The sequence below is a fragment of the Homo sapiens genome, chromosome 10 (assembly GCF_000001405.40).
Source record: "Homo sapiens chromosome 10, GRCh38.p14 Primary Assembly".
NCBI classification, from domain to species: Eukaryota; Metazoa; Chordata; class Mammalia; order Primates; family Hominidae; genus Homo; species Homo sapiens.
The window spans coordinates 82,788,929-82,815,030 of NC_000010.11; the positions used below are offsets into that span (position 1 = coordinate 82,788,929).

A 26,102-nucleotide genomic window follows, 5' to 3' on the forward strand; every position below is an offset into this window, starting at 1 on the left:
TTATCAGTTTATAAACATTTGGGTCATTCTCAAATTTGTGCTATGAACATTCATGTACAAGTTTTCATGTGTTTATGTTTTTATTTATTTTGAATATATATACTCAAAAGGAATAGAGTGCTGGGTCATCTGGCAACTCCATGTTTATCATTTTGAAGAACTGTGAAGATTTTACATTTCCACCAGAAATATATGAGAATTCAATTTTCTTCATATTCTTACCAACACTTTTTGTCTTCTTGTTATTTTAGTCATTATAATATTCAAGAAATGGTATCTCACTAGGGTTTTAATTTGCATTCCAATAATGTCTAATGATGTTGACCATCTTTTCATATGTTTGATGACCATTTTAAAATCTTCTATGGAGCAATAGCTATTCAAATAATGTGTCCATTTTTAAATGAGTTCTTTACATTTTTATTATTAAAGTTGTAAGTGTTCTTTATATACTCAGTGGACAAGTGTCATATTAGAAATAAAATTTGCAAATATTTTATCTCACTCTATGTATCTTCTTTTTATATTATTTGAAGTTTATTTTGCCTGATATTAGTAGAGCTACTTGAGCTCTATTTTGGTTGATGTTTGCATGGCATATCATTTTTCTATCCTTTTACCTTCAAGATATTTGATACATATAATCTGAATCTGAAGTATATCTCTTGTAGATAGCATAAAGTTGGATCATTTTTAAGTCCATTCTGCTAATATCTGCCTTTTATTGGAATGTTTGACACATTTACATTTAATGTAATTGTTGACAAGTCAGGATTTACTTCTGCCTCTTTGCTCTTTGTTTTCAGGCATTATGGGTCTTTCTTTACTCCCTATTCTTCTATCACAGCCTTCCTTAGTATTAAATGAATATATTAAAATACCATTTTAATTCCCTTTTTTTTTTAACGATGTAATTTTAAATTTTATTTTTGTAGTGGTTTCCCTGTGGATTACAATGAACATTTTCACTTAAAACAATGTAGGAATTCAATAAACATTTTTACTTAAAACAATCTAGGATTGATAACAACTTAGTTTCAGTGGTAGAGACAATCTTTGCTCATGGATAGTTCCATTTTCTCCTCCTTTTGCACTGTTATCATTAGCATATGCATATGACTTTATGCATCATAATATAATCAATGAAGTTTTTATGTATTGCTTAATGTAGCTGCCCTTTAAATCAAATGGGAAAGAAAGGGGCTTACAAACTGTATTGTCTCTAATATTTATTTATGTAGTTATCTTTATGGGTACCCTGTTTCTTCATGTGAACTTAGGGTACTGTCCAGTGCTTTTTCTATTTCTTCATTTTAGCCTGAAGGACACCCTTTGGTATTTCTTGTAGGGCAGGTCTGCTATTAATTAATATTCTCTTTATTTCTCTCATAGACATACCTTTACTTCTCCTTCAGTTTTGAAGGACAGTTTCGCTATTGGTTTTTTTCTTTCAACAGTTTGAATATGTCATCCCACCACATCGTGGCTTCTATGGTATCTAATAGGAAGCCTGCTACTAATCTCGTTGGAAATCATATGCGATGACTCCTTTTTTCGATACCTTTACAATTCTCTCATTGTATGTGTGTTTTGACAGTTTAATTATGATGGGTCTAAGTTATTATGTCTTTTAGTTTATCTTACTTGGAGGTCATTGAGCCTCTTGGATGTATGAATTAATATTTGTTAACAAATTTGGGGAATTTTCAGCCATAATTTCTTCAAGTATTCTTTTTGCCTTATTTTCTTTCTCATCCTTCTAGGACTTCCATTATGCATATGTCAGTGTGATTGATGGTACCACATAGTCTTTTTGAGGCTTTGTTCCCTTTTATTTATCTTTTTTTATTTCTGTTTCTCAAACCATAAAATCTCAATTTAGCTATCATAAATTCACTGTTTTTTTCCTTCTGCCTGCTTAAATCTGTTTTTGAACCCCTCTAGTGAACTTATTTCAATTATTGCCCATTTCAATGACACATTTTATTTATTTATTTTAAAAATAATTTCTATATAATTATTAATATTCTCTGTTTAAGGTATTATTCTCATATTTTATTTAATTATTTAGATATGAAGTCCTGTAGTTTGTTCAACATATTATGATACGTTAAAGTATGTTTAACTGACTTAAAGTTTTTTTTTATTAACATCAATATATGTATGGGCATCCTTGGAGAGACTTTAACTTACTGCTGTGCTTTCCTTTTCCCCTTCCTGCCCCCACATGGGTTTACTTTTATGTTTCTTTGTGTATCCCATAATTTTTATTGAAAGCTGAACAATTTAAGTAACGTAATGTGACAGCTCTGAAAATCAGATTCACCTCCACTTGCCAAAGCTCTTATTTGATTACTGATGTTTATTGCTGTTTTTTTTTTGGTTTTTTTTTCATTTTTGGTAACTTTCCTGGAATAATTCTGTAAAGTCTGTATTCCTTATCATGTGCAGCCACTGACATCTCTTTTCCATTAACTTAGTGGTCCACTGATTTCTACAGAGATTGCCTTAAATATCTTCATCAAGTAGAACTCTCTTCCTTTGCCAAATATTCACATTTGTGCTGGGGCAAGCCTTCAGTGCTCCAGCAGTTTACAACTCTGTAATTACCTTCACTTCTTGGTTTTTCAGGATTCAAGATCAGACAGAGGTGAGAGAGTAGGGCCTGCTGGGATCTTTCCTACCCTTGTGCACAACTCTGTTCATGCGTATAACATTGTGAATCCCTGGGAATATGTAGAGATTTTCAAAGCCCAGTAGGAAATATTATTCCCCATATTTTCATCTTAAGCTTTTTGACAAGCTTCTTGTTTGCCCCAACTTGCTTTGCTGCCTCAGGCATCAGCCACGTTAAACAATTGCTGCTGATTGCTTCAACAAACTCTCTTATGATAGGGCTTTCCTCCCTGAATGAGCTTTAAGTCAGGTCAGATAAAGTTTAAAAAAGTGACAGTTCTTCAGTTTGGAACTTCTGAAGATCTCCAAACTCTACCTCTTCCAGTGTTTAGTGGACTTCTAGTTTTTACTGCTTTTATGGCTGCTAGATTGTTAAATTTTAAAGTTCACACAGAGCTGGGGAAAGGGGGATGGAAATAGAGCTTAAAATGATACAAAGCTTGCTGGTTTTGTTGTTGTCATTTTTACCAAGGTTCTGCCTTTTTTCTTCTATAAACACTCCTTAGATTGTTACAAGCCTTTGGTTTATTTCTAGAGTTCTTAAAAAAAGTTGATTTTTTTTACAAATGTTACCTATCTTTCATTGATTTTATGGAGAGACAGATGTTTGGAGGGACTTACTTTATCATCTGGAAGTAATTAGATGTTTGGAGGGACTTACTTTATCATCTGGAAGTACTCTTCTTCATTGATAGGTCTTAAAAGTTTTGGCATTTCAGTACAACATAGATTTATGTGAATTTATCTTTCATTATTCTGCTGGGTACTCAAAGGGAATTTTAATTTGTATCTTTAATTCTGAAAAATTTTCACCAGTTTTATCTTCAATTATTACGTCTTTGTTATTCCTTCTGTTCAAGACTTTGAGTCTTATTTTGTTTCCTGTTGGAGCTTTTAATCTATTCTTCATCTCTATTAGGTGTTATTTCAATGTTTTTTGTCTTGGTCTTGCTACTGCATTCTGAGTTAAATTTTAAATATTGTCTTCCAGTTTAACAAACTCTTCTATATTGTGACTAGTTTTTGAAATTTTTAGGATGATTTAATTATTTTTTTATTTTAATTGAGGGTTTTTATTTATTTATTTATTTTTTTGACGGAGTTTTGCTCTTGTAGCCCAGGCTGGAGTGCAATGGCATGCCCTCAGCTCACCGCAACCTCCACCTCCTGAGTTCAAGCCATTCTCCTGCCTCAGCCTCCTGAGTAGCTGGGATTTTAGACATGTGCCACAACGCCCAGCTAATTTTTTGTATTTTTAGTAGAGATGGGGTTTCTCCATGTTGTTTAGGCTGGTCCGAACTCCCAACCTCAGGTGATCCGCCCACCTCGGCGTCCCAAAGTGCTGGGATTACAGGCATAAGCCACCACAGAGGTTTTTTGTTTGTTTGTTTTTTTAATCCTACCAATAAACTCAGAGTTTTCTTCTCTCTCTTTTTTTATTTTTAACAATCTCTTGGGTTTTTTATTTTGGTTTTTGAAAATGAAGATTTAAAAAAAATTTCTCTCCTGAAACATTCGTCTGTAAGTTTTAAAATGTTGATCATTCCATCTGGAGTAATTCTTCTGTGTATTGTTTGTGATGGTTGTAATTTTAACATTAAATTTCACATGAATTTTGGAATTTGGATTTGCTGGCTCATTTTTGAGTGGGAGTTTGTTGTGTTTCATTTTACTTTTCCTCTCTGTTTATGCTTACTTTTTTCTCCCTACCATTTCTTGGCTCACATTAAATAATGAATCACTATAATGTAATTGGACGTATCTGTGCTGAGACAGTATTAGGGAGAGGGTAGATATGGTCACCCAGTCAGGAAGCATCTTATTGTCTCATTTTAAGTCTCTGGCTGTCATCTCCCTAGGCCTGCAGCTACCAGGAACTAGAAATCTGAAAAGTGTTCAGTGACATCTCTCTACCCCCTTATTTATTCTGGGGAGATTTAAAACTTAAGCCTTCTCAGATCCAGGTGTCATTCAGAATAAGGTTATGTTGCAATAGCTTATAACCCTAACATCTCTGTGGCATTAAAAAACAACAACGAAGTTTCATTTCTCACTAATCTTTAATGTCTGTTGTGGGTCCTGTGGCTATGTCTTATCATCACTTTTATTCTGTGACTGAGATAGATGAGATTGTCTCTTCCTGGATCAAAAGCATATGGGAAAACTGATCAGTGGCTTCTAAAGCTTCTTCCACAAGGCATCATATCATTTTTGCTCACATTCCATAGACTCGAACAAGTCATGAGGCCAAGCCTAACATTAATACCACAATAAAGTAGATTCTGCCCCACTAGAGGGTTAATATTTTATATTAAAGTATAATATGGTCTACCAAATTCTCTTTCACTTATTTTTTTTACCTGTAATAGTGTAACCTTTAGCTACCACTGTCTGCTTTGATTCCCTCAAACTGCCTGAACTATTGCTTCAGCTGTGAACAACACTTTCTATTTCTATTCTATTCTGTGTACTTGTTTTCTTGATTTTAGCCCAATTATCTCTCTGATTTTCTATTTTTCTCTTTGTGTCTCATTGTTCTATGTTTGGAGCATAGGAAGGTGCCTCAGATAATAAATTAAATATCCTATCTCATTCATAATGGCATCAATTTTTTTTGGTGGAAGAAAAACAAACTTCACAAATCCATAATTAAATCTCCTCTCTCTCCCACAAATCACCTTTTGGAATCAGTTTTAGTATCAGACTAGGGAACCAACATCCTCTGTGTCTGGTATGAGATGCAATCTTTATATTTCTTTAAGGTTTTGGTGTTAATTGATCCAGTAGAATTTTTATGTAACCAAAATTTATTCCTTGGCCTGAAATGTTCTCTAATTAGTTACTATAAACTGGTGCTTATTCAGCCGAGCTGTGCAATTTTGGGACTTTTGGGTTAATAAAAGCCTAATCTGCTCATTTGTTTACACTGTTTACTCCCTAAAGGCTTATGCTTTGTGACTGAAAACAATGCTTAATAAGCAGAAGAAAGCATGTTAATTGTAGGCACTGCCATGCTGCTGTGTACCTAAGAGCTGGGCTTGGCTGCAGCTCAAACAGGTCTTGGGTAGAACTAACCAAGTTGCCCTCAAGCTTAACTTCCAATTGTCACAAAATTCATCTTGGGCTTAGAGATGAATTTTAAATACATCGAAGAGTAAAATGCTCTGTTACCAGAGTGGGTCAGTGGAGCTCAGCTACCATCGATCTACACTCTAACTCTCTTCCTCCATCAACCTTTACATCCTCTAATGGAGGAATGTCTCCCATATGAAATAGTGGCCACTCACCCAAATGTAATATTGGTGACAGACAAAGGGAAACTAAGCTCTAACCTCTCTCCCCACCAAAAGTTCACATTTCTTCAGTCAAATCATCATGTGGACAGAAATCAATTTCTTCTCTATGCTGTCACTGAGAAAGAGGGAATATATAAAACTCACGTATAAAAATACAGAAGTAAAATGAAGATCTCTATGTTAAGTGAGTACTATCCAGAATAATTGATTTCCATTACTGGATATCTTCAAATAAATGATTGATGGTAATTTGATATCACAAAAGAGAAAGCAGTATTTTTTATAAAAAAGCTTTATTGGTATAACAGAGGTATAATGACATTTTTTAAAAAGTTACACATGTAATGTATATAACCTTAATGAGTCTGGACACTTGTGATACTGTTACCACAACCAAGGTGTGAAACATATCATCAAGACCACAGTTTTTGTGTATGTGTGCACATTCATGACAGGATATGTGTTACAGAGCTAATGTCTTTATTTTAAAAAGCTTTATTCATTTGGATTTTATTCCTTACTATTATATTCTTTATTCAACAGTTGTCTTTCCATCTCATCTCTCCTGATTCTTCCCCATGCTTTAAAAAATGTTAATGTCTTCTTGAGACTGTCAAAAACAACATTACAACAAATTTCTTTATAGATCTAATTGGCTTTTATAGGTGATACATGAATCAGGGCAGCCTTCATTCTACAAAACTGAACAAGTGTTCTTCTGGGCAGGGGCAAAACACTGGGTTTTGAAAGGTGAAAAGTAGGAAATAGAAAAATGGAAATCTAGTAAGCATCATATTACCTCAGGTTACTTTTTTTAAAGGGGTAAAGCAGAAGAGACTTCCTTATTAGGATTACTGAGGTAAACTGGAATCTCTTGTTTTCAGGAAAGATTGTTTTGTTTGGGGATCTATCTGCTTTCTTAAATTTTCATTTTAATTATGTGGCATTTAGCATGAGTGACTCCATTTTGGTTTGGTCTGGTCGTTTAGGGCCTAGTGCAGGAGTTCAGTCTGAAACAATGGCCTCCCATAATCTTGTTTAACAATTCTAAAAGAAGGTCGTTCCTTTAACTCTATTCCTCTCTGTGGTTTCATCCCTCTCCTTTACCAATCGATTCATATTTACTTTTGTATGTTCTCAAAGGCAAGTTAAATAATACTGCATACTGAAGTCTGTTCAGTGTCCCCACAATCATAATAAAATGTCTAAGACAGACTTATGAGCTTCTCAAACTGTGTTGTGGGTGTACTTTTAGGCTCATGTGAGATCATGAATATGGTGCATTCTCCTGAAGTATCAATTTTACTCAGTACTGAAAACATTATTCTATCATTAAAACAAACACAACTAGATTAGAGAGTATATTGCAAAATCTCCATGAACTTAATACTAAAATAAGAGTCTGAAAGCCGACTGGTACCCCAGATTGTCAATCAGCTCCTATTGGAAGCCTGTCAAGTCCACCATAGAGCAGCAGCCAAACCATTTCATGGGAGAGAACGAGGACTCTGCAGCGAAGTCTGAAAGTGCTGCAGCCCTCTGGACCCTGTGGACTCTCAAAACTAATCAAATGGAATGTCCATCCAAGACAAAGCCCCGCACCAATGTGAAATTGTTGAGAGAAAACCAAAATTTATCAAATAGCTACAATAGAAGCAAAGGAAATAAAGTGGTAAAGAGAGAGAGAGGGGGAGGCAAAGAAAAGGAGGAACAAAAGCAGCATTACCACAGTGAATGTGAATTTTAAAATTATTTTCTCATTTATTATTTTGCAAAAATGACAGGAGAGGGAGCCCTAGAGCCATAATGCTAGAAAACTATCCTGACCCTTCCTCTTTCCTAAAAGTACAAAGAAACTCCAAAGAAGAAAAGAGGAGAAAGATGAGGAGGAGGAGGAAGAGAGGAGAGGAATAGGGGTAAAAATAAATCTTGGTCAACTCTTATACAAACTTATTATAAATTCTTACAGGGAAGGAGAATGAAAACAGAATGATGCAGACAAGGAAATTATGCCATAAAGCTAGTCCCAAAACAAATGAAAACTACAACCTAATATTTTTTAAAAATAGCTAAAATAAGAAGCTATGAAAAAAAGATGTATACCAGAATTAGAAAAACTCTGAAAAGAGGCAATTAGAAAAATTAAGATCTAAAAAGAGAAGTAACAGGACAAATTTAGAAATGAAAATGAACCTTTTTACAATCAGTCTTCATTTTTACTCCATTGCGTTCGACACTGTTGTTCTGAAAGTCTTTCCTGCTCTGGACTCTGGAAGATGTTAGTCCTTCTAATTCTCCTGCAGCTACTGCTTCCTGCTCTAATTCATGGCTCTTCATCACTGCCATAGAAATGGGACGTTTCCTATGGCTCTCTCTGGGCCACATCTTTCAGTTAACTTGGCCCAGTGGCTGCAACAACTTTTAAAGTTTATAAATAACTTTAAATATGGCTGCATTTCAAATAAACCCCTCACTTCTTGACCTGCTCCATACTTGACTATCCAGGTGCCTTTGGGATGTCTCACTGGCATTTCAGGTGGGTCATGTCCAAAGTCACCTACTCAGTGCTTAAATCTACCTCTCATATACAATTTCATAATTTGGAAAACAATGTTTTTTTTCTGTCACTCAGATTCAAAACTCCAGAAGCATCCATCACTGCTTTCTTCTTTGTCATGTTCATTATATCAAATGTCCTTGTTTGCTCATGTCTGCCCCCAAAGTACCTCGAATCTGTTCTCTCCTTTAACTCTTCACTGCCACTCCCTCAACACCACTCTCTACTTGCAATAAATAACTGTTTTTTGCCTTCTCTGACTTCATTTTGTCTCATCTGCTAGTGATGTTGTCAAACTGATCTCAATTGGTAGATCGGAGTTGTCTTCTAGGGGAGTTTATGAATGTAAACAAAACTGTGAATGTGGCCTCCTGAAGTTGCATATTTGACCTGGCTCTGTCTTCTTCAGGGCAACAGATTCTCAACCTGGTTTTGTTGTTAGTACAGTTGAAAGAATTAATTTTAAGAAAAACAAGTCAGAAGAAATTACAGTGCAGTAACTAGTAAAATAATCATGACTACATTAAAATATTTTTAAATACCCTTAAAATGGTTCAAGGTATTATCCTCTAGAAGTGTATTGCTATTTATTGCCTTTTCAATACTCTTTTGTATACCTGAGGCAATGTCTTTGAGAACCTACTTGAAAAAAAGTGTAACACTGTTTTCCTCTTACTCACAGTACCTTGTACCCTGATATTTGTAACATCACAAAACCCACAGAGTTAGGGGCTGACCAAATATACACAGTAAGTTATAGTATTGGGTAAATGAAACAATCCTGCAACAAAAGATTCTTCAGTTCCAATACAGAAGAATAAAGGAAACACAATTTAATTTTGAGAAAGCATTACCAGGTTGACATGTATATAAGGTGGCACACAAGAAACTATAAACTCTGGACAGAATCTTACACAAATCTATACAGCAGTCAAAGAAAGAACAATAGAAACTTCTCTTATCTCCTTGAGAGATAAATAGATGAGCCCTGTCATCTGCTCTATAGTTGTGAGATAGCACAGAGCTAATTTGTAGGTTTACAGTTCCAAGGGGAAGAAGGCCAGAAAACTGAATCAAAAGGACTATCTTGTTTGGGGGTTTATTAAGTTTACAAGGAAACACCCCAAAGGAAAAAAGCGTGAGTATGAAGCCACTTCTCTCCTCAAAGAAAATTTTATAATTTATTTTTACAGTTGCAACTACAATCACTTGTAAAGACAAATCCCAGATTCCTTAGAAACTAGAAGCATAGTAATGAAGAGTTCTCGAAACATCTGCAAGCTACTGTGTATAAATGGAAAATCACTGGGCTATAGAGAGACGGTCAGATTTTTTGTGTGTGGAATTTTTAATGCATTTTGTAATCTCACATCAACTTGATTTTTACTCACATTTCCCACTCCTACATCCTTATCTCGGACCCCTTGGGATATAGAGAAGGACTGGCTGGGCTGGAGTCAGTTGGAATGCAGACAGTGGTAGGTCACACAGAGGCTCTGCAGGTGACTGGGAGATACTCAAGGTTCATAGGATAATTGGATGTCAGTCATTCTGATAGTGGAATTCAATGATATAGAAGAGGATTATTTAGACAATATGTAGTCAAGCAGTCTGCCAATAATTTATTGAGTACCTGCTATATGCCAGGGGCTAGATAATTTCCAAGAACAGAGTATATCAGCATGATAGAGTTCTAACAAAAGATGCTGAGACTTATTGGTGCGGCTGTATATCTGGAGAAGAGCTCCGGTGTCTAGAAAATGAGAGAGGTAAAGAGATTTTACCCTAGGCTGGGTGCGGTGGCTCACACCTGTAATCCTAGCACTTTGAGAGGCCAAGGCGGGCGGATCACCGAAGTCAGGAGTTCAAACCAGCCTGGCCAATGCGGTGAAACCCCATCTCTACTAAAAATACAAAAACTAGCTGGGCATGTTGGCTTGTACCAGTAATCCCAGCTACTCAGGAGGCTGAGGCAGGAGAGTCACTTGAACCGGGGAGTCAGAGGTTGCAGTGAGGTGAGATTGCGCCATTGCACTCCAGCCTGGGTGACAAGAGCGAAATTCCGTCTCAAAAAAAAAAAAAAAAGACATTTCAGTCTAACGTAAAGGAAATCTCTCTAGAAACTGGAGTATTATGTAAGAGATGGTCTTTTGAGAAATACAGGCAGAAGCCATGTAGCATTTGTTGACAACACTGATGGGGGATTCGTGCACCAGGCCCAATGGTGAACTCTAGAATCTCTAGGTCTCTAGGGTTCCTTCTAATTCAAGAAGCCAAGTGAGACACTGTAGCAGACAGTGTCTCCAGGCAGGGTACTGAGCAAAGAGGATAGTGAAAAGGGCAGTGAAACATCGGCCTTTTTCACTGGCAACTTCAAGACTCACTGCCTACAATGTAAGTATTCCTCGTATTCCCTAACAACAGTTCAACTGGAAGAGTGGTTTCTGTGAATCCCTTTGACTTTTTATCTTGCCTTGGTCCTGGCTCCATGGAGGTCCACTGTCCAAGAATAGAAGAGCTGGACCCGCCATGATACACCCTTCGTCATGTTGGCCATGTCTGGATAGGTCCCTTGACTTCAGTGTCTTTCTTAAGGTTCCTGCCTTTGGTTCTCTTTGCTTCCTCTTTGGATTTATAGCCGGTTTCTGACTCTCTTGTGCTTGAATCTTATTTCTCGGTTTTCTGTCTCTATCGCCTTCTAGACTATTACTTGTGATTTAAAAAACTATATTTGCTAGCTATCTGAAAATCAAGTTAACATTAGCAAAATGTTTTAGCAATGCTCTGGGTTTCTACATCTTTACTTTTCTGCGGAAGGTGAGAGACATCTTACATTTGGTTAGGATATTTCTTAGTTTCCCTTGTGATTTTTGGTTTTAACAAATGAGCAAGCCCCAGGGTGATTATTATAACAATTATTTTTACCTACGGGCAAGAAAGGGAAACATATTCAACCACTAACATTGACTTAGCTTTATTTTTAAGCATCCCAATCATTAGCACCATTCATTCATTTAACAAATATTGAACTCTGTTTTACAGTAATTTACTGTGCTGAATGTTATAGGGAATGAGAGTGTGCATATTACATGTTAATGATATTGCCTAGCATTTAGTAGGTGCTTAATTAATGTTAGTACATTTGGCTGTTGATGATGACAAAAATGATGAAAGTGGCATACATAGTATTAATGAAGTCTATTTTCTGTATTATAATATTTGGAAGTTATAGGAGATTAGCAAACAAGCTGCAAAGTACCAAATAAGATATATTAAAGCAAGAGTTCAGTCTCAAATGCTAGTGAAGGAGGCATTTCTAAATGTGACTAGGAGTCTCCCAATTTGAATTTTCACTTCCCTTAAGGTGACCTGAGCAGAATCCAAATCCTTTGACTTGATGTGGGTGGACAGCTGGTGCACAGAGGAGCTAGGGGCACAATTGAGCTGGAAAGGCTGTTAACTGAAGTATCCTAAGACTGCCTAATTAAGGGGAAGAGATCTGGGGAGCTGGAAGGTGGGAAAGAATTGAATTCTTCTTTATCAAAGGGCAAAGGCAAGGTTATGAAAGTAAATGAGTATTGTGTTCAGATAGAGAAATAGTGGTATAGTGAATGCAGCAAAGATACTTCAAATGACTGAGTCCTGGGAAAAGGAGCATGTGATGGAACATGCCTATTAGGCAGACTAGTGTGTTCCGCTAGAGAAAAGTTGCACTTCGAAGATGTGGCCACTGTCTGGAGGTACATATTTTAAACCACTGTATCCATATCAGTCCAACCACCATGTTTAATCTCAGGAATCTGGAGAGATTTATCCATGGTATCGGGATCAGTAAGCACTGGAAATTAAGAGCGTAAGACTGAAGTAACTATGAAAACTTATAGTTGAAGTGGTCACTCCATCAGCTTCCTTATGTGTTGGCAAGATAGTGTTAGAAAAACATCTTTCTTTTTCTTTCTGTCTTCAAAAAATGAGCTGACACATTCCATCTGGAATGTGTCATTAAGGCCAGTAGCAGATTGCCAAGCCCTCCAACAATGAATTACAGCCATCAAGCTGTGGCATTGGAGAAGTAAGGGTTAATCATTGTGTCATTGGTATCCACAGAGTTCATAATTTTGGACTTTGTGCAAATGGAAAATTGTAATCTTCAGCTGCCTTTTGCCAGGCTACAGAATGGCAGCAGAGTCCAATGTGATAGACATATTAGTGGTAAAAAGCCTGTTTACCTGGTGCAAACAGGGCTTATCTTTCAAGACACTATTTGAAGAGTACGCAGAATTTCTTGGGAGAGGAATATTCTGGAGGATGGATATATTCACTTGCCCCTGTGGCATTTGTTTTCTCCTTGTAATGTCTGTGTGATGTGATGGTAAATTCAGAATATCTGTTCCAATAGACACATTCAATGTAACACTCAACATGATCCATTGCTATCCCATGCTTTGCTTTCTTCGGGTTCCTTTAAATTACCAAAGTCTCTTGTATGTGAGCTGCTTTGACCAGTTTTCATTTTAGGAATGAGAGGAAAGCATCTCTTACCAAAAAAGTAGGAAAATTCCACCATTAGTTACCCATTTAATTTGTTTCAAATAGCATGTGAAAAACAGCAGTCATCTAGGTAAAAGAATGGGCTGAATCCACTAGAGGTGCGTAGTATGAGTTTTTTAACCAAATTCCTTTACTCTAATACTTTTGTGAGATCAGATATAGTTAAAGAATGTTTGATTGGGTGCTAGGAAAGTGAGAGAAAACAGAGCTCATTCACGACAGAGAGAGGAGGCCCTGGTGTGTTGCCACAAATGAGTAGCATCTTGGATAAATGCAAATGTCTGGAAGTCAGGGGAGAGTGGATATTAGCAGAAAATGAATGTGCAAAAGGGTTTGAAATATTTCAAACTTTATAAATCAGCTTGAGGCTACTCTGCATGATCTAACTTTTTTGAAAACAAACATGCTGATCAAGGGGGTCAAATTGGTGAGCTCAGGTTTAATGGACTAAAACTGAGAAACTAAAAATTACAGCAACTGCCAAGAACCTTGCATATCCTTATCAGTTTATGATATTTACTCAGATATATTGATTTCAAGACAAAAATATATCTTTCAAATTGTGTCTACATAAAATATCAGGGTTAATGTAGAAGAACAGGACAACCCATGGAGTAGTACTATTTACCAGGCCCTTTATTTTTATTTTTTTTAAATTTTTTGAGACAAGATCTCGCTCTGTCACCCAGGCTGGAGTGCAGTGGCCTGATCACGGCTCACTGAAGCTTTGATCTCCTGGGCTCCAACCATCTGCCCCACTCAGCCTCCTAAGTAGCTGGGACTACAGGCACGCACCACCAAGCCCAGCTAATTTTCGGTTTTTGATTATTTTTGTTTTGTTTTTATGGTAGGGACAAGGCTTTGCCATTTTGCCCAGGCTGGTCTCAAAATCCTGGGCTCAAATGATTCACCTGTCTTGGCTCCCAGAGTGTTGGGATTACAGATGTAAACATCGCACCCAGCCTCCCTAGGTTCCTTATTTTGTGATTGTGTTGAATGTTTACTACAATCCTCTGAACTAACACAAAGATTTTATGATGTAGAAAATTCTGGTTTAAAGAGTATCAAAGAAACCGTCTGAGGCTATGTGAATCTTAAGGGAGGAATTTTGCATTCAGAACTCTGTGAGGACTCCAGACCCCTATACTTCCTGTAGATGATCCTCCCCTCCAGTAAAGGCACCTGTGTTGAATGAGTGCAGACCATTCAAGGGATTCGGTTGTAGTATGACAGGGGCAGTAGAAAACTTTATCTGTGGATGTGAGAGTCGGTTTAGAAGTTTATTTTGGAAATGTGTGGTCAATATTCTTTTAAATTGCCTGTAAATGTTTCTGCGCTTATTTGTGTGGGACTCTAAATGACAGAATAGATAGGGAAATCTAGTTACCCATCTATCTCCTAATAAATCATTGAAGACAATTGCATCAACAGAAGTATGTGTATTTCATCTTTGCTGAAGGGCACATTTAAAAAAATGTTAGTTCAATAATCTCATTTGTAAATCTCAGAAATCTTGTGATGTATAATTTTTCACCTTAAAGAGTTTCTTTTTCTTTCATTCATTCATTTTTTTGACTTTATGAGAGAATCAGAATCTCTTTGACATCATTTGCAGAACATTGCAGATGAATAAAAGGGTGGTGATTGAGTTATTCCGGTGTTGAGGAAAGAGTGTGGGCTTTCAAGTCAGACATGCCCATGATGAAGCGTAAATATGTATTTTGAGTTATAAAATGAAGACAACAATACTTCTCACAGGATCGTGGGGAAAATTAAATGAGATAATGGCTACAAAAAATATTTAGCTCAATAATTTGAACACACGAAGTAGTCCCTCCTTATCCATGGCTTCACTTTACGGTTTTAGTTCCCCAAGGTCAACCATAGTCCAAAAATATTAAGTGGACAGTTCCAGGCATAAACAATTTATAAGTTTTAAATTGTGTACTGTTCTGAATACTGTGATGAAATTTCACACCATTATGCTTTGTCCCTTTGTCCAGCACATCCGCGCCATCCGTGCTCCCAGCCCACCAGTCACTTAGTAGCTGTTTCACTTATCAGATCAACCATCACAGTGGCACTGTGCTAGTGTCCAAGTAACCCTTGTTTTACTTAATGGCCCCAAAGTGCAAGAGTGGTGATGCTGTCAATTTGCACCCGCCAAAGAGAAACTGCAAAGTGCTTCCTTTAAGTGAAAAGGTGAAACTTCTGGACTTAATAAGGAAAGAAAAAATTATATGCTGACATTGCTAAGATCTATGGTAAGAATGAATCTTCTAAGTGAAATTCTGAAGAAGGCAAAAGAAATTCATGCTAATTTTGCTGTCACACATCAAGCTGCAAAGGTTTTGGCTACAATGCATGATAAGGGCTTAATTAAGATGGAAAAGGCATTGCATTTGTGGGTGGAAGACATGAACAGAAATGTATTTCGAACGACAGCAATCAGGTTCAGTACTGTTCGTGGTTTCTGGCATCCACAGGGGGTCGAGGATAAAAGGGGGCCACTATAGTAAGTGCTCAATAAATGCTAGCCACAAAATCATTATCATTCTTATTGCTATAATCACACATGAGAAAATCAATTATCTTCTTCAGGCCTTGGATTCCAATCTTGTAAAGTGAGGTTTAAATGAGAATGCATATGTGAAGCATTTGCCTTACAACACAAAGCCTTAATAAGTGCCAGTGACTCTTCTCCATCCGTTTTCATCCAGACACCACTTTCTTGCCAACTAACTGCCCTTTGCTAGGCTTGAGAATGCAGACGGTCAAAATTGACGCTATTTTCAGAGCCACAGAATTTCAACATAGCCTATCTGGGAAGGTACACATTCTCAAATTTACCTTCCCTGACTACAGAAGTTACCAAATGTGGAAACTTTGATCCATACTTTATCTAATTAGATACCAATTAGCTTTCTGCTATAAGAAATGTACTACTGGGGTTAGTACTACTGGGGGTTAGAGCATCCCAAGTATATTGAAGCCAATCATGTAATTTTCATCAGCTTTTCTTAGAACTCATTTTTAGTCAGTGCTATTCAAATGTATTATGCACACAAATCCCCTGATGAACCTGTGACAAATGAAGGTTTTGTTTCACAAGGTTGGGGAAGAGGCTGGAGGTTCTGAATTTCTAAGGTCTCAGTTGATGGCAATGCTGCAAGACCATCCCTTTGAGTGGTTAGAGTCTTGGGTCCTTGCTAATATTGTGGTAGGTAATGAGCCCTCACCCTAGTTAGACTGCAGCTTTCACCAGCAGATACCATCGGACATTCCTTTGATCGTATATCTTCCACTATCAGCTTTGTGTCTCATTTTTTCAGCATACTTTCATTTAAACGTGAATGCACTTAGAGTAAAACCACTCACTGCTCCTCAAATAATTCCCTTTAATCTTGTCTCTGCGTCTTTTGTCCCTGTGTCTTTCTTTTATTTATTTATTTATATTTTTCTTTTTAGTACCCTTCCCCTTTGTCAGCTTTGCAAAATCCTTCCAGACCCTGTTTAAATCTTTCCTCCTCCGTTTAGAAACTGGCTTGAAGGGGAGAGGTGTCATTGCCAGATCTTGAGGCCCTGGGAGGAAATCTGCTGGAAGGTGGGGAGGTGTATGGAGGATGGAAGCAGACACATGAGTTAAGAGGCTGATGTATTAGAGCATGAAAGAGGTGACGTGGTCTTGAATCTGGGATGATCTCCAAGGAGATGTTCCTGATGAGCTTATGACTTGGGCAAATTGGCTAAGCAACCTGAGCCTCTGGGCCTTTGTAAAATTGCAGAGATGGTCCTATAGTCTCTAAATTATCTTTCAGATTAAATATTCTGAATTTGGTGGGCTGTAAGCAAATGTGCACAGGCCTGTTCCAAAGACTTCTTAGTTTGGATCAGTACATTTTAGTATGTCACTTCTATTGCTAAAAATCTTTATTTTCAAATTTTTCTGTCAAAGGTTTTTCTGAAACATCAACTGAGAATGAGGGGAAAATGTTGCTTTAGGAGATTTTATCTAATCTTATTAATAGCAAATTGTATAGAGATTTCTTATGAACATTTAAGAAATAGAATTCATTCATCCTAATCTACTGCTAGAGAAGCATTTGTTTATAGAGAGACTGGGTCCTTTCATATCAGAAAGCAAGTGACACCTCAGGGAAACATCAGCTATGGCTTTAAGCAGATGTGAGTGTCAACAAGGTTTGAGTTCCTCATGTGCCTTATTGACACTTCCTGTTATAAATATGACTTATAGGTCTTTTCAACAATGACAATGACAATTGAGGCCTGAAATTATGCCCGATTGTCTGAATACTTAGATAAGACGGCATTATTTTCTATATATTTTATTTGTGATCAAGTTCTGTGATTGCCTTTCTACTTAGTTTTTGCTGTTTTTATAAAAATATATACTAAAGACAAAAATCCTGACCTCATTCACACATCACGTATTAGTAGAGCATGTATGAGGTATTGGGTAATGAGCTAGGCTTCTACTCACGGACCTACAATTAATGTGAGAAGTGAAGCTAAAGACCCAACCTGATGATTAGTTGAGACTTTTCAAGTATTTCTCTCTAGAAAAGGCATTGATTTGAGGATGTTGTTTCACATTTCTGAGATGCATCTAGGAGTTGTCATGTACCATTAGTATATAAATCCGGAGTGGCTAATCAGGAGGGAAAAAGAGAATAATTTAGGAGTGACAACCAGATACGTAGAGAAGATGATGTAGATGACAGTCTGATGGGGGTACTGGAATTAGTGCATAGTACTTAGGTAAGTCTCATGTGTTCCTCTGCAGTTTGGATCATAAGGTTGTCTGATAGAGCCTGTTGTAGACATCAGATAGGCACCATCTGCATGTAACCCTTCCTATTTCTATTTGTCCTACCTGCAAATCATTTTATTTTTGAAGCACATCTACTCATTGTCTACATAGACTTTAAAGACTCACACTATATTTTATTTCAACTGTTTCCTGCTTTCATGTGATGGAATTACAGCTTTCCACACATTGTTTGCTGCCAAGACCCTAATTGGTTATTGGACATAAATGTCCTGGGAGAAAGTCACCATCCCAACATGAGTTTTAGCCTCTTGCTTTTCCAAATGTTTGCAATATCTTTCCAACAATTTCTTTCCCTCTAATCATGTTCTGCTTCTAAATGAGACATCTGTCAAAGTACATAAAAAGACAAATGTTATAAAAGTGAAATGATATCTAATTTTTGACTTATTTAGGGGGCATCTTGACTTACATGTTTTCATTACACTTGAAATATAATAATTACTGCATGTTCAATAACATCAATTTGAGCAAGTAAACTTGCAAGGACTCAATAAGGGGAACTGACAGTCATGAATACCTACTTTGTGTCTGGGGATTTGCTAACATTATTTCATTACCTTGCAACGGGGTGTGTGGAGTGTTGCTACTCATGTCCACCTATGTAAAGTTCAGAGGCCTCCATGAGTCCAGAATACATAATTACATGAATCAGAGTTAGGATGTGAACACACATCCATAGGACTACAATGTAATTTCCTTTCTTGTTGGAATTTAAAGTGTGATCCAAGGCCAGCAACATCAGCATCATCTGGGAGCTTGTTAGATACACAGAATCTCAAGTGCCACCCCAAAGCAAACTGCTTCAGAATCTTTGTTTTATTAATAATAAGCTCCCTTGATGAATCCTATGCACATTCAAGAGTGAGAAATACTGATTTATACATCATGCCTCCAAAGCAAGCTTCTTTTTCCCTTTTTCCCTGTTTCCTGTCTTCTCTTATATGGCTGCAAAGACAGTCATATGGCATACTTTTTAAATAAATTTATTTCATTTATTTTTTCACAAAACACATCTAATTTTCTTTGAAACAGTCCAGGGACTCACAGTACTATTCCTTGTTTACAAATCCTTTTTCTTTCTTTACCTAAATAGTCTCCTCTCACAGACAATTTCTTTCCTTCTTCATCTTTCTCAATAACTGCAAAAATTTTCTCCAATAAATTGACTCCCATTATCGTAAGGGGGTAGATGTATCTGGTGTTACCCTTTCTGTGTTGTGAATGAGGAACATTTATGGTTAATTCGTAGGTTCTTCACTTATTTTCATCTCATTTTTCATGTATCTTGAATAATTGCTCTCATAAATGCCCCTCAAACATAATTTCTACACACGTAGTAAAAAAAAAAAAGCACAGTAGTCAAGTCGCTATTTTGAATAAGCACCTTAGAGTTTCTCCTTTCATTTTGTTTATAGCTTATAAATACAGTTTCTACTTACACTGTGTATCACACAGTTAAATCTGAATGATACATTGAGATCATTTTACTAAATGTTCCAGAAAATAAATATTCAAATTCATTTAAATTCAATAAAGGAGTCGACTCATTTCATTTTACTATTACAAATTACTTATAATTTTTGGTGATCAGTGACATTATGTAATTAAACACACACATTTTTCTTTTAATTTTGAGATATTTTTATGATAATATAAATGTGTGAGATCTTTCATAGATGATTATATATGTGATTAACTTTTTTAGATAGCCTTAGAATGAAAAAAATCTCTCCAATTAAACTGTTATTTTTTAGAAATACTTCATTAGCTTTTTCTGCAATGACAAAACTTTTACCTATTTATGATTAATAGAATTACCCATGCTTCATGTTTTAAATCAAACCCGGAATTTAGACAACTAAAGTAATCTCAAAATTATGAATTTATTCCTTATACAGCTACTTATTTATTGTTTTTTCACCTGTCCTGGGATAAGATGATAAAACAATATATGGCTCCTGCCATAATATTATGATTAAACCCACATATAAACACTAAAATTACGTGAATTTTTACTAAAATTGCATGAATTACATGTATTGGGGTCAGTGCTACAGTGTTGTCTGTTCACAGTAGAGGTGCTATTTGGCTTGAGCCTTGAGGAATAATGGCAGATCAATGGGTTTAGTACTGAAGGCAAAGAAATGAGGAATGCTGGCATATGCTGTAGCAGTGACTGAGAGGAGGCGATGGTGGGATATGAAGTTGGACAAGAGGGTCAAGGCCAGTTCAAGACAACACATGCACCATGCAAAGAAGGGAACAGCCATGAGAAGCCATTAAAGAGCCCCATCCCATATTATCCAATATATATTTAGTACTCGCCATTTGCCAATGATTGTGCTAGTGACTGTGTATGCAATTCAGTTGTGTATGTAAAGGAGAAAAAAAATGATGAGTCTCAGGGCATATTAAACAAAGTAGAAGATATGGGATTTGAACCAAAGATCCACTGTTTTCAACACTCATTCTTCTTCTTTATAATCATAAAATATATCATTTATACAAAAAATATATATTATATTTATAAAATGTGAAAAAAACAACATTAGTATTCCCATGTACCCCATTTAAAAAATGTGAACATAATAACACCATTGAGACAAGTCCTGTGCTCCTCTGAGATGTAAATTATCTTCCTTAGCATTCCTAAGTTTGTAACTATGTCCCCATAATATATTATATCTTATCATACAGAAACGTATTTAAATAGTTTTAACACATAATGTATATTTTGGTGATTTTTAAGAAATTCAACCTTATGTTTGTGAGATTTGTCCCTGTTAACGTGGCTGTAGAGAATTTACTTTCAGGGTTCATTTGTGTTTCAACCTCATTTCTTGTTTCTAGATTTTTGCTTTACTATCAATGACACTAGAGAATTTTTATGTAAGAAATATTCATCTTTAATTCTGCAAGAGATAATCCTAAGTAGTTTTCCAGGTTTTTTTCAGTGATTTACACCCCCATTCTCACAATCTGCTTTCCATGACCTTGTCAATAAAACTTCATTATTTTTTTTAAATTTAAGATAATCTACTGGGTTGTAAAGGCATTTCAATAATCCAATTTCTACACAGGTTTTTTTTTTTCTTATAACTTGTTGATTTTTATATTTCTGCTCTTGTGAAAGCCAACTCCTGATTTGAAAGTTGCTTTTTCTTATTGATATATATAGGATAGGTATTTTTTACATATTCTGGATACTAATTCCTTTGGCAATTATGTGTCTTGTAAATTACCTCCCAGTTTATGGCTTGCCCTATGATTTTGACAGGCAGAGGTTCTTAATTGTAGTACAGTTAAAGATATCAGCCCATCCTAATTCTTTGTGTGCTTCATGTCTTGTTTAAAAGTAGCCCTACCCTAAGGTTATGGATATGTATTGGTCTATTTCCTTTGAAAAGTTTTAAAGATCTGGTTTTTATACTTAAGTATAAAATCCATTTGGGATTGACAGTTGTGAATGATTTAGCAGTGGATCTCCAATGCTGTTTTTTTCTATGTGAATGTTTTTGAAGAGTTTTAGGCTGAGATGTTGCACTAGGTTCATTTTTGCTTAAAATGGACTGGATTAGTATGTGACTAAAGACAAACAGATCAGTAAAGAAGTGACTGAAGGCCAGGCACTGTGGCTCACGCCTGTAATCCCAGCACTTTGGGAGGCCGAGGCAGGTGGATCACCTGATGTCAGGAGTTTGAGACCAGCCTGGCCAACGTGGTGAAACCCCGTCTCTACTAAAAATACAAAAATTAGCCAGGCGTGCTGGTGGGTGCCTGTAATCCCAGCAACTCGGGAGGCGGAGGCAGGAGAATCACTTGAACCCGGGAGACGGAAGTTGTGGTGAGCCAAGATCGCACCACTGCACTCCAGCCTAAAAAAAAAAAAAAAAAAAAGAAGAAGCGACTGCAATAGTCCAAGCCAGTGATGCTGAGGGTGTGAACTAGGTCGCTGGTAATAGGAAGAATAGGGAGACATACAAGATATTAATACTTAAAAGCCACTAAAAACAGGATTTGTTATCTAATTTTAATGGGTATGTCATACATTTTTCTCTTTAAATTCTTATGAATTTTCAGAATAAAATATACTACTGCCCTACTATGGAGAGGTGTCCTTGTGTGTCCTTTACTTGCAGTGTTCTTCCTTTAGTCATTTGCAGGGCCCCTTCCTTCACTTCCTTCAAATCTCCACTGAAATTCACTTTTTCACTGGGGGCTCCTTTGAGCCTCCTTTGCAAAATAGCCATATCTGTCTCCCAAGCATATATACATACAAACGCCTGGCAATGAATGCCTGCCTAGCTCTTTACCATGATATGTATTGCTTCATATGACTTATAACCATCTTCACATGATTTGTTTTGTAATGTTTATATTTTCACTAGATAACAAACTCTATGAAGGAAGAAGCTTCACCTGTTTGTTCACTGCCATATCACCAGAGCCTACTTCTGTATCCATTAAATATTCGTTGAATAAACAAAAGGGCAGAAAGAACTTGTATGTCAATGATGTGCGTTCCCTTTTTAGAAAGGGAGGCTTGTGGCGACCTTCTAAAGTTTTTGGAATTTTAACCAGCTTTTGTTTCTCCTGCAATGGTGAAATTCTGGGGAGATATCAGTGACCCATTTGGCTTAGAGCTACCTTCCTATTAGATTCTATTGTAACACTTGTGGAACAGGTGAAAAGTAAAGGTGACAGGCAGTAGGAACCATTGGGAATACACCAATTTGGGCTGCACATGCCGAGGTTAGTCCATTCATCATCTTTATTCCACATTGACAGTAAAAGCAATGATCTCTAAATTAATTAGATCCTTAGAGATAAAGCAAAATAAAACTGTGAACATTAATAGGCCCGTATTTCAACACCTGCCTGGACTGAGGCAAGCTCTTCCTGTTCAATTGCTTTCCTTCCCTGCCATGGAGCTGCATTCACCAGCAGTCCTCCAGGGGGCAGGCTTTGAAATTTTCAGAGTTGGATTGCCCAGTCTGTCTTAATCCATACTTCAGGGAAGAAACCATGATAGTTGACTGAATAAACATGTAAAACACCTTGTAGACTGGATCCTACAATCTTTGGTCACACCAGAGCTTGGCAAGCATGTTGTCTTCAAGCCACACTTTAGAGACAGAAACTTAAAGAGATGTCAGCTGGCTTCAGTGTTGGTATGAAGCCTGATAGCTCAGCTGAGTTAAATGACTCCCAACAACCAAATACATGGCTCTTCTAGACCAGGGTTTCTCAAATGTTAATATGTATATAATTATGTGGAGATCTTGTTGAAATGTAGGTTCCAGTTCGCTATGTCTGTGTGGGAATCTAAGATCCTCTATTTCTCCCAGTCTCCTCTCAGTTGATGCTGATATTCCTAGTCCCTGAATCATCCTTTGAGAAGCAAGGCACCTAGATTTCTGGTCAAAATGCTGAAAATTAACAACCCAAATTTAAAGATATGTGGTTTGTTTTGCTTTTTTGTTTTGTTTTTCTTTGAGGCAAATTACTAGAACCAACCAACCAATGAAGGTTCTTCGGCTCAAGAACAAAAAGTCTACTTTGAAATTTACATTTTGACATGAAGCAAAATAAAATGTTAAGCCTAGTTATTTTTCATTTAATCCTAGGTGAGATAAAAAATAATACTGCTTCTATTAAACTGACATAATTATAGTAAAATGTGGGTGAAATAAAAATAAGATCTTTATTGTATATGGAAAATGTAGAATCAACACTGCTAAAAACCACATCAATAAAACAAAAAATGAATTTAAAAAGCACACTCAGGATGCAAAAGCAACCTCTCAGGAGATAAAAATTAGCATAAGAGTTATGAATGAAACAAAACTCAGGACCATAGAAATATTGAGAAACCTGGCTTATCACACTCAAATAAAATTACTCAGTAGAAACTAACATGTAGACATTTTCTGATAAGTTTTGAAACTGCAAAGCAAAAGTTAGATGTTTTATTCTACATAGTACAAAAAATATGTTTATTTCAAAGAAGATAACCAGACAAAATTTGAATTTCTCCTCTGCAATAGTCAAAACCAGAAAGCAAAAAGAAACATCTATAAAAGTGTTAGAAAAATCAAATGTGAACCAAGATTTTACATCTTGACATGTTGTCCTTAAATGTAATAGCAACAGAAAGACATTTTCAGTCATGCAATAACTCAAGAAATTTATCAGCAGGTATCAATCTTTGAAACCTGTGCTCATATCACTCATGGCAGACCACAGCATGTCCTAGATCTGAAATGTATGAGTGTTTTGATGAGTTAATCAAGTTAAAGTAAAAAAAACACAAAGTACATTATTCATCATTATTCATACCCTCTGTTTCTCTTTTTTTTTTTTTTTTTTTTGAGACAGGGTCTTGCTCTGTTGCCCAGGCTGGAGTATAGTGGCAAAATCTTAGCTCACTGCAACCTCTTCCTCCCAGGCTCAAGTGATTCTCCTGCCTCAGCCTCCTGAGTAGCTGGGATTACAGGCATCCACCACCACACCTGGCTAATTTTTGTATTTTTAATAGAAATGAGGTTTCACCATGTTGGCCAAGCTGGTCTCAAACTCCTGACCTCAAGTGATCCACCCGCCTCAGCCTCCCAAAGTGGTGGGATTACAGATGTGAGCCACCGTGCCCAGCCTGTACCTTTTTAAATAAGTCTTAGTATATTGCATTATAACATTGTAGTTGCTTCCATATGAGACTTCCTCGAGAGCATGGTAATCTTGAGAACAAAGATCTTTATTTACACTTTTACACCTTTATTTGTATTATCAACAATATGCTCAGAAAATGCTTATTAATTAAACGGGCTGTCTTTTGTAACACAGTCTCATTTATATTCATTCTCTTAACTCCTAGATCTGATCACGTTTCAGAATTTTGTGGTGGAGACCATAAAAATCATTGACAAATCAAATTTAGAGATTGTATATTGAAGCGATCTTTCCAAACCCAATTTTAATTTTTAAAGTAACTGAGGGCCCAAAGCTGTGTCTGAAGCATGACTTGGAACGTGTGTACACACAGGTCTTGAGAGGACTATGGGAAACAGCAGCTGGCCTGGCGCGTGACTCCTCAGTCCCAGATTCATAGAGCATCAGGGCTGCTACTTAGAAGTTACTCGTACTCTGTGCAGGTGGCACGGTTCACTCCCAGGAATGCTCTTCTTTTCATTGCTAATCATTGTTCACCATTATCTTTGCAGGCTTTATCAGGATCTCCTTTGATGTAATTTGTAGTATAATTGAATTGCAGCAGATGAAAGCATTTCCTCCCAAGCTCTATGACTCATAACCAAGTGGTTTTCAATTATGTCAGCATGTAGCTTTCCAAACAGGTCTTTTCATTGACCACTATTTGTATACACTATTGAGTTAACTTTGGCAAACATACCAATTCATAGACTACTGTGGATTCTAATTAAACTGAGATGGAGAAAGATAAAATGATCATTAATTTACATTAAAGAGTAGAACAGGGTGTTTAGAGATTTGCCTAGGATTAATTTTATAAATAATATTAATCACTATCATTACTAGTAAATGCTAATGCACATTCTAAAACCCAGAGGCCGCATGGGGCTTCTCCCCGAAGACTACCACTGATGAGGAAGCCTGTGGAGCCAGGTTTATGATATGGGAAATTTCTTGATCCTAGTGTTAAATAATTTAGTATTCTCTCATCCTCCCATGATGCCTCTATAGTAGAAAGGCCGACAGCTACTTCTGACCCATGAGAAAACATTTCATCCTGTAAAGCCTAAGAGAGAATTATTTTTTGAGTTTTAGGACCAAGAAGTCAGAATTTTACTCTTTTATTTTCATTTTATAATAACCAACAATTTCACATGTATTTTCTGTATAATTTAAAAAGCACTTTTATAAATATCATCTTACTTCATTCTCAGCACTAAGCCTGTATGAGTCATAGTGAACACTTGCACACTATCATGTTTGGTAGTCTGCTAAGCACTTTATGTGAGAGGCCTCCTTTAATCCTCACAACTCTGTGTTGTGCCACCTGAGACTGTATCCATTTTACAGAGAAGGAAAGTGCAGTACAGAAAGTTTGCATAGACTTCTAGAGATCACAGAGCTACTCAGTACTGGAGCAAAAGTCCAAACCCACCATGCTGATCTGCTTCTAGAAAAATGT

The 26,102-nt window shown here is 36.5% G+C and overlaps 1 protein-coding gene across 24 annotated transcripts in view, besides 1 other annotated feature; it reads left to right on the forward strand.

Moving 5' to 3' along the window:
* Nucleotides 1-26,102, forward strand: part of NRG3 (neuregulin 3) — a 1,111,986-nt gene that overhangs the window by 913,735 nt on the left and 172,149 nt on the right. Inside the window, exon 1 of one of the 24 annotated variants that reach the window (XM_024447781.2) lies at nt 10,610-10,923. The exons of the other annotated variants lie outside the window; for them this stretch is intronic. The gene's annotated coding sequence lies outside the window, so the exon portion shown is untranslated. Of the gene's footprint in view, nt 1-10,609; nt 10,924-26,102 lie in introns of those variants that run through there. 24 annotated transcript variants of the gene reach the window in all.
* Nucleotides 21,484-21,672: a silencer, noted in NCBI's record as "fragment chr10:84570168-84570356 (GRCh37/hg19 assembly coordinates)". NCBI's record gives its function as "represses an EF-1alpha promoter that drives an FKBP-Casp9 reporter gene in an ReSE screen in K562 erythroleukemia cells {active_cell/tissue: K562}" and the evidence as "EXISTENCE:reporter gene assay evidence [ECO:0000049][PMID:32094911]".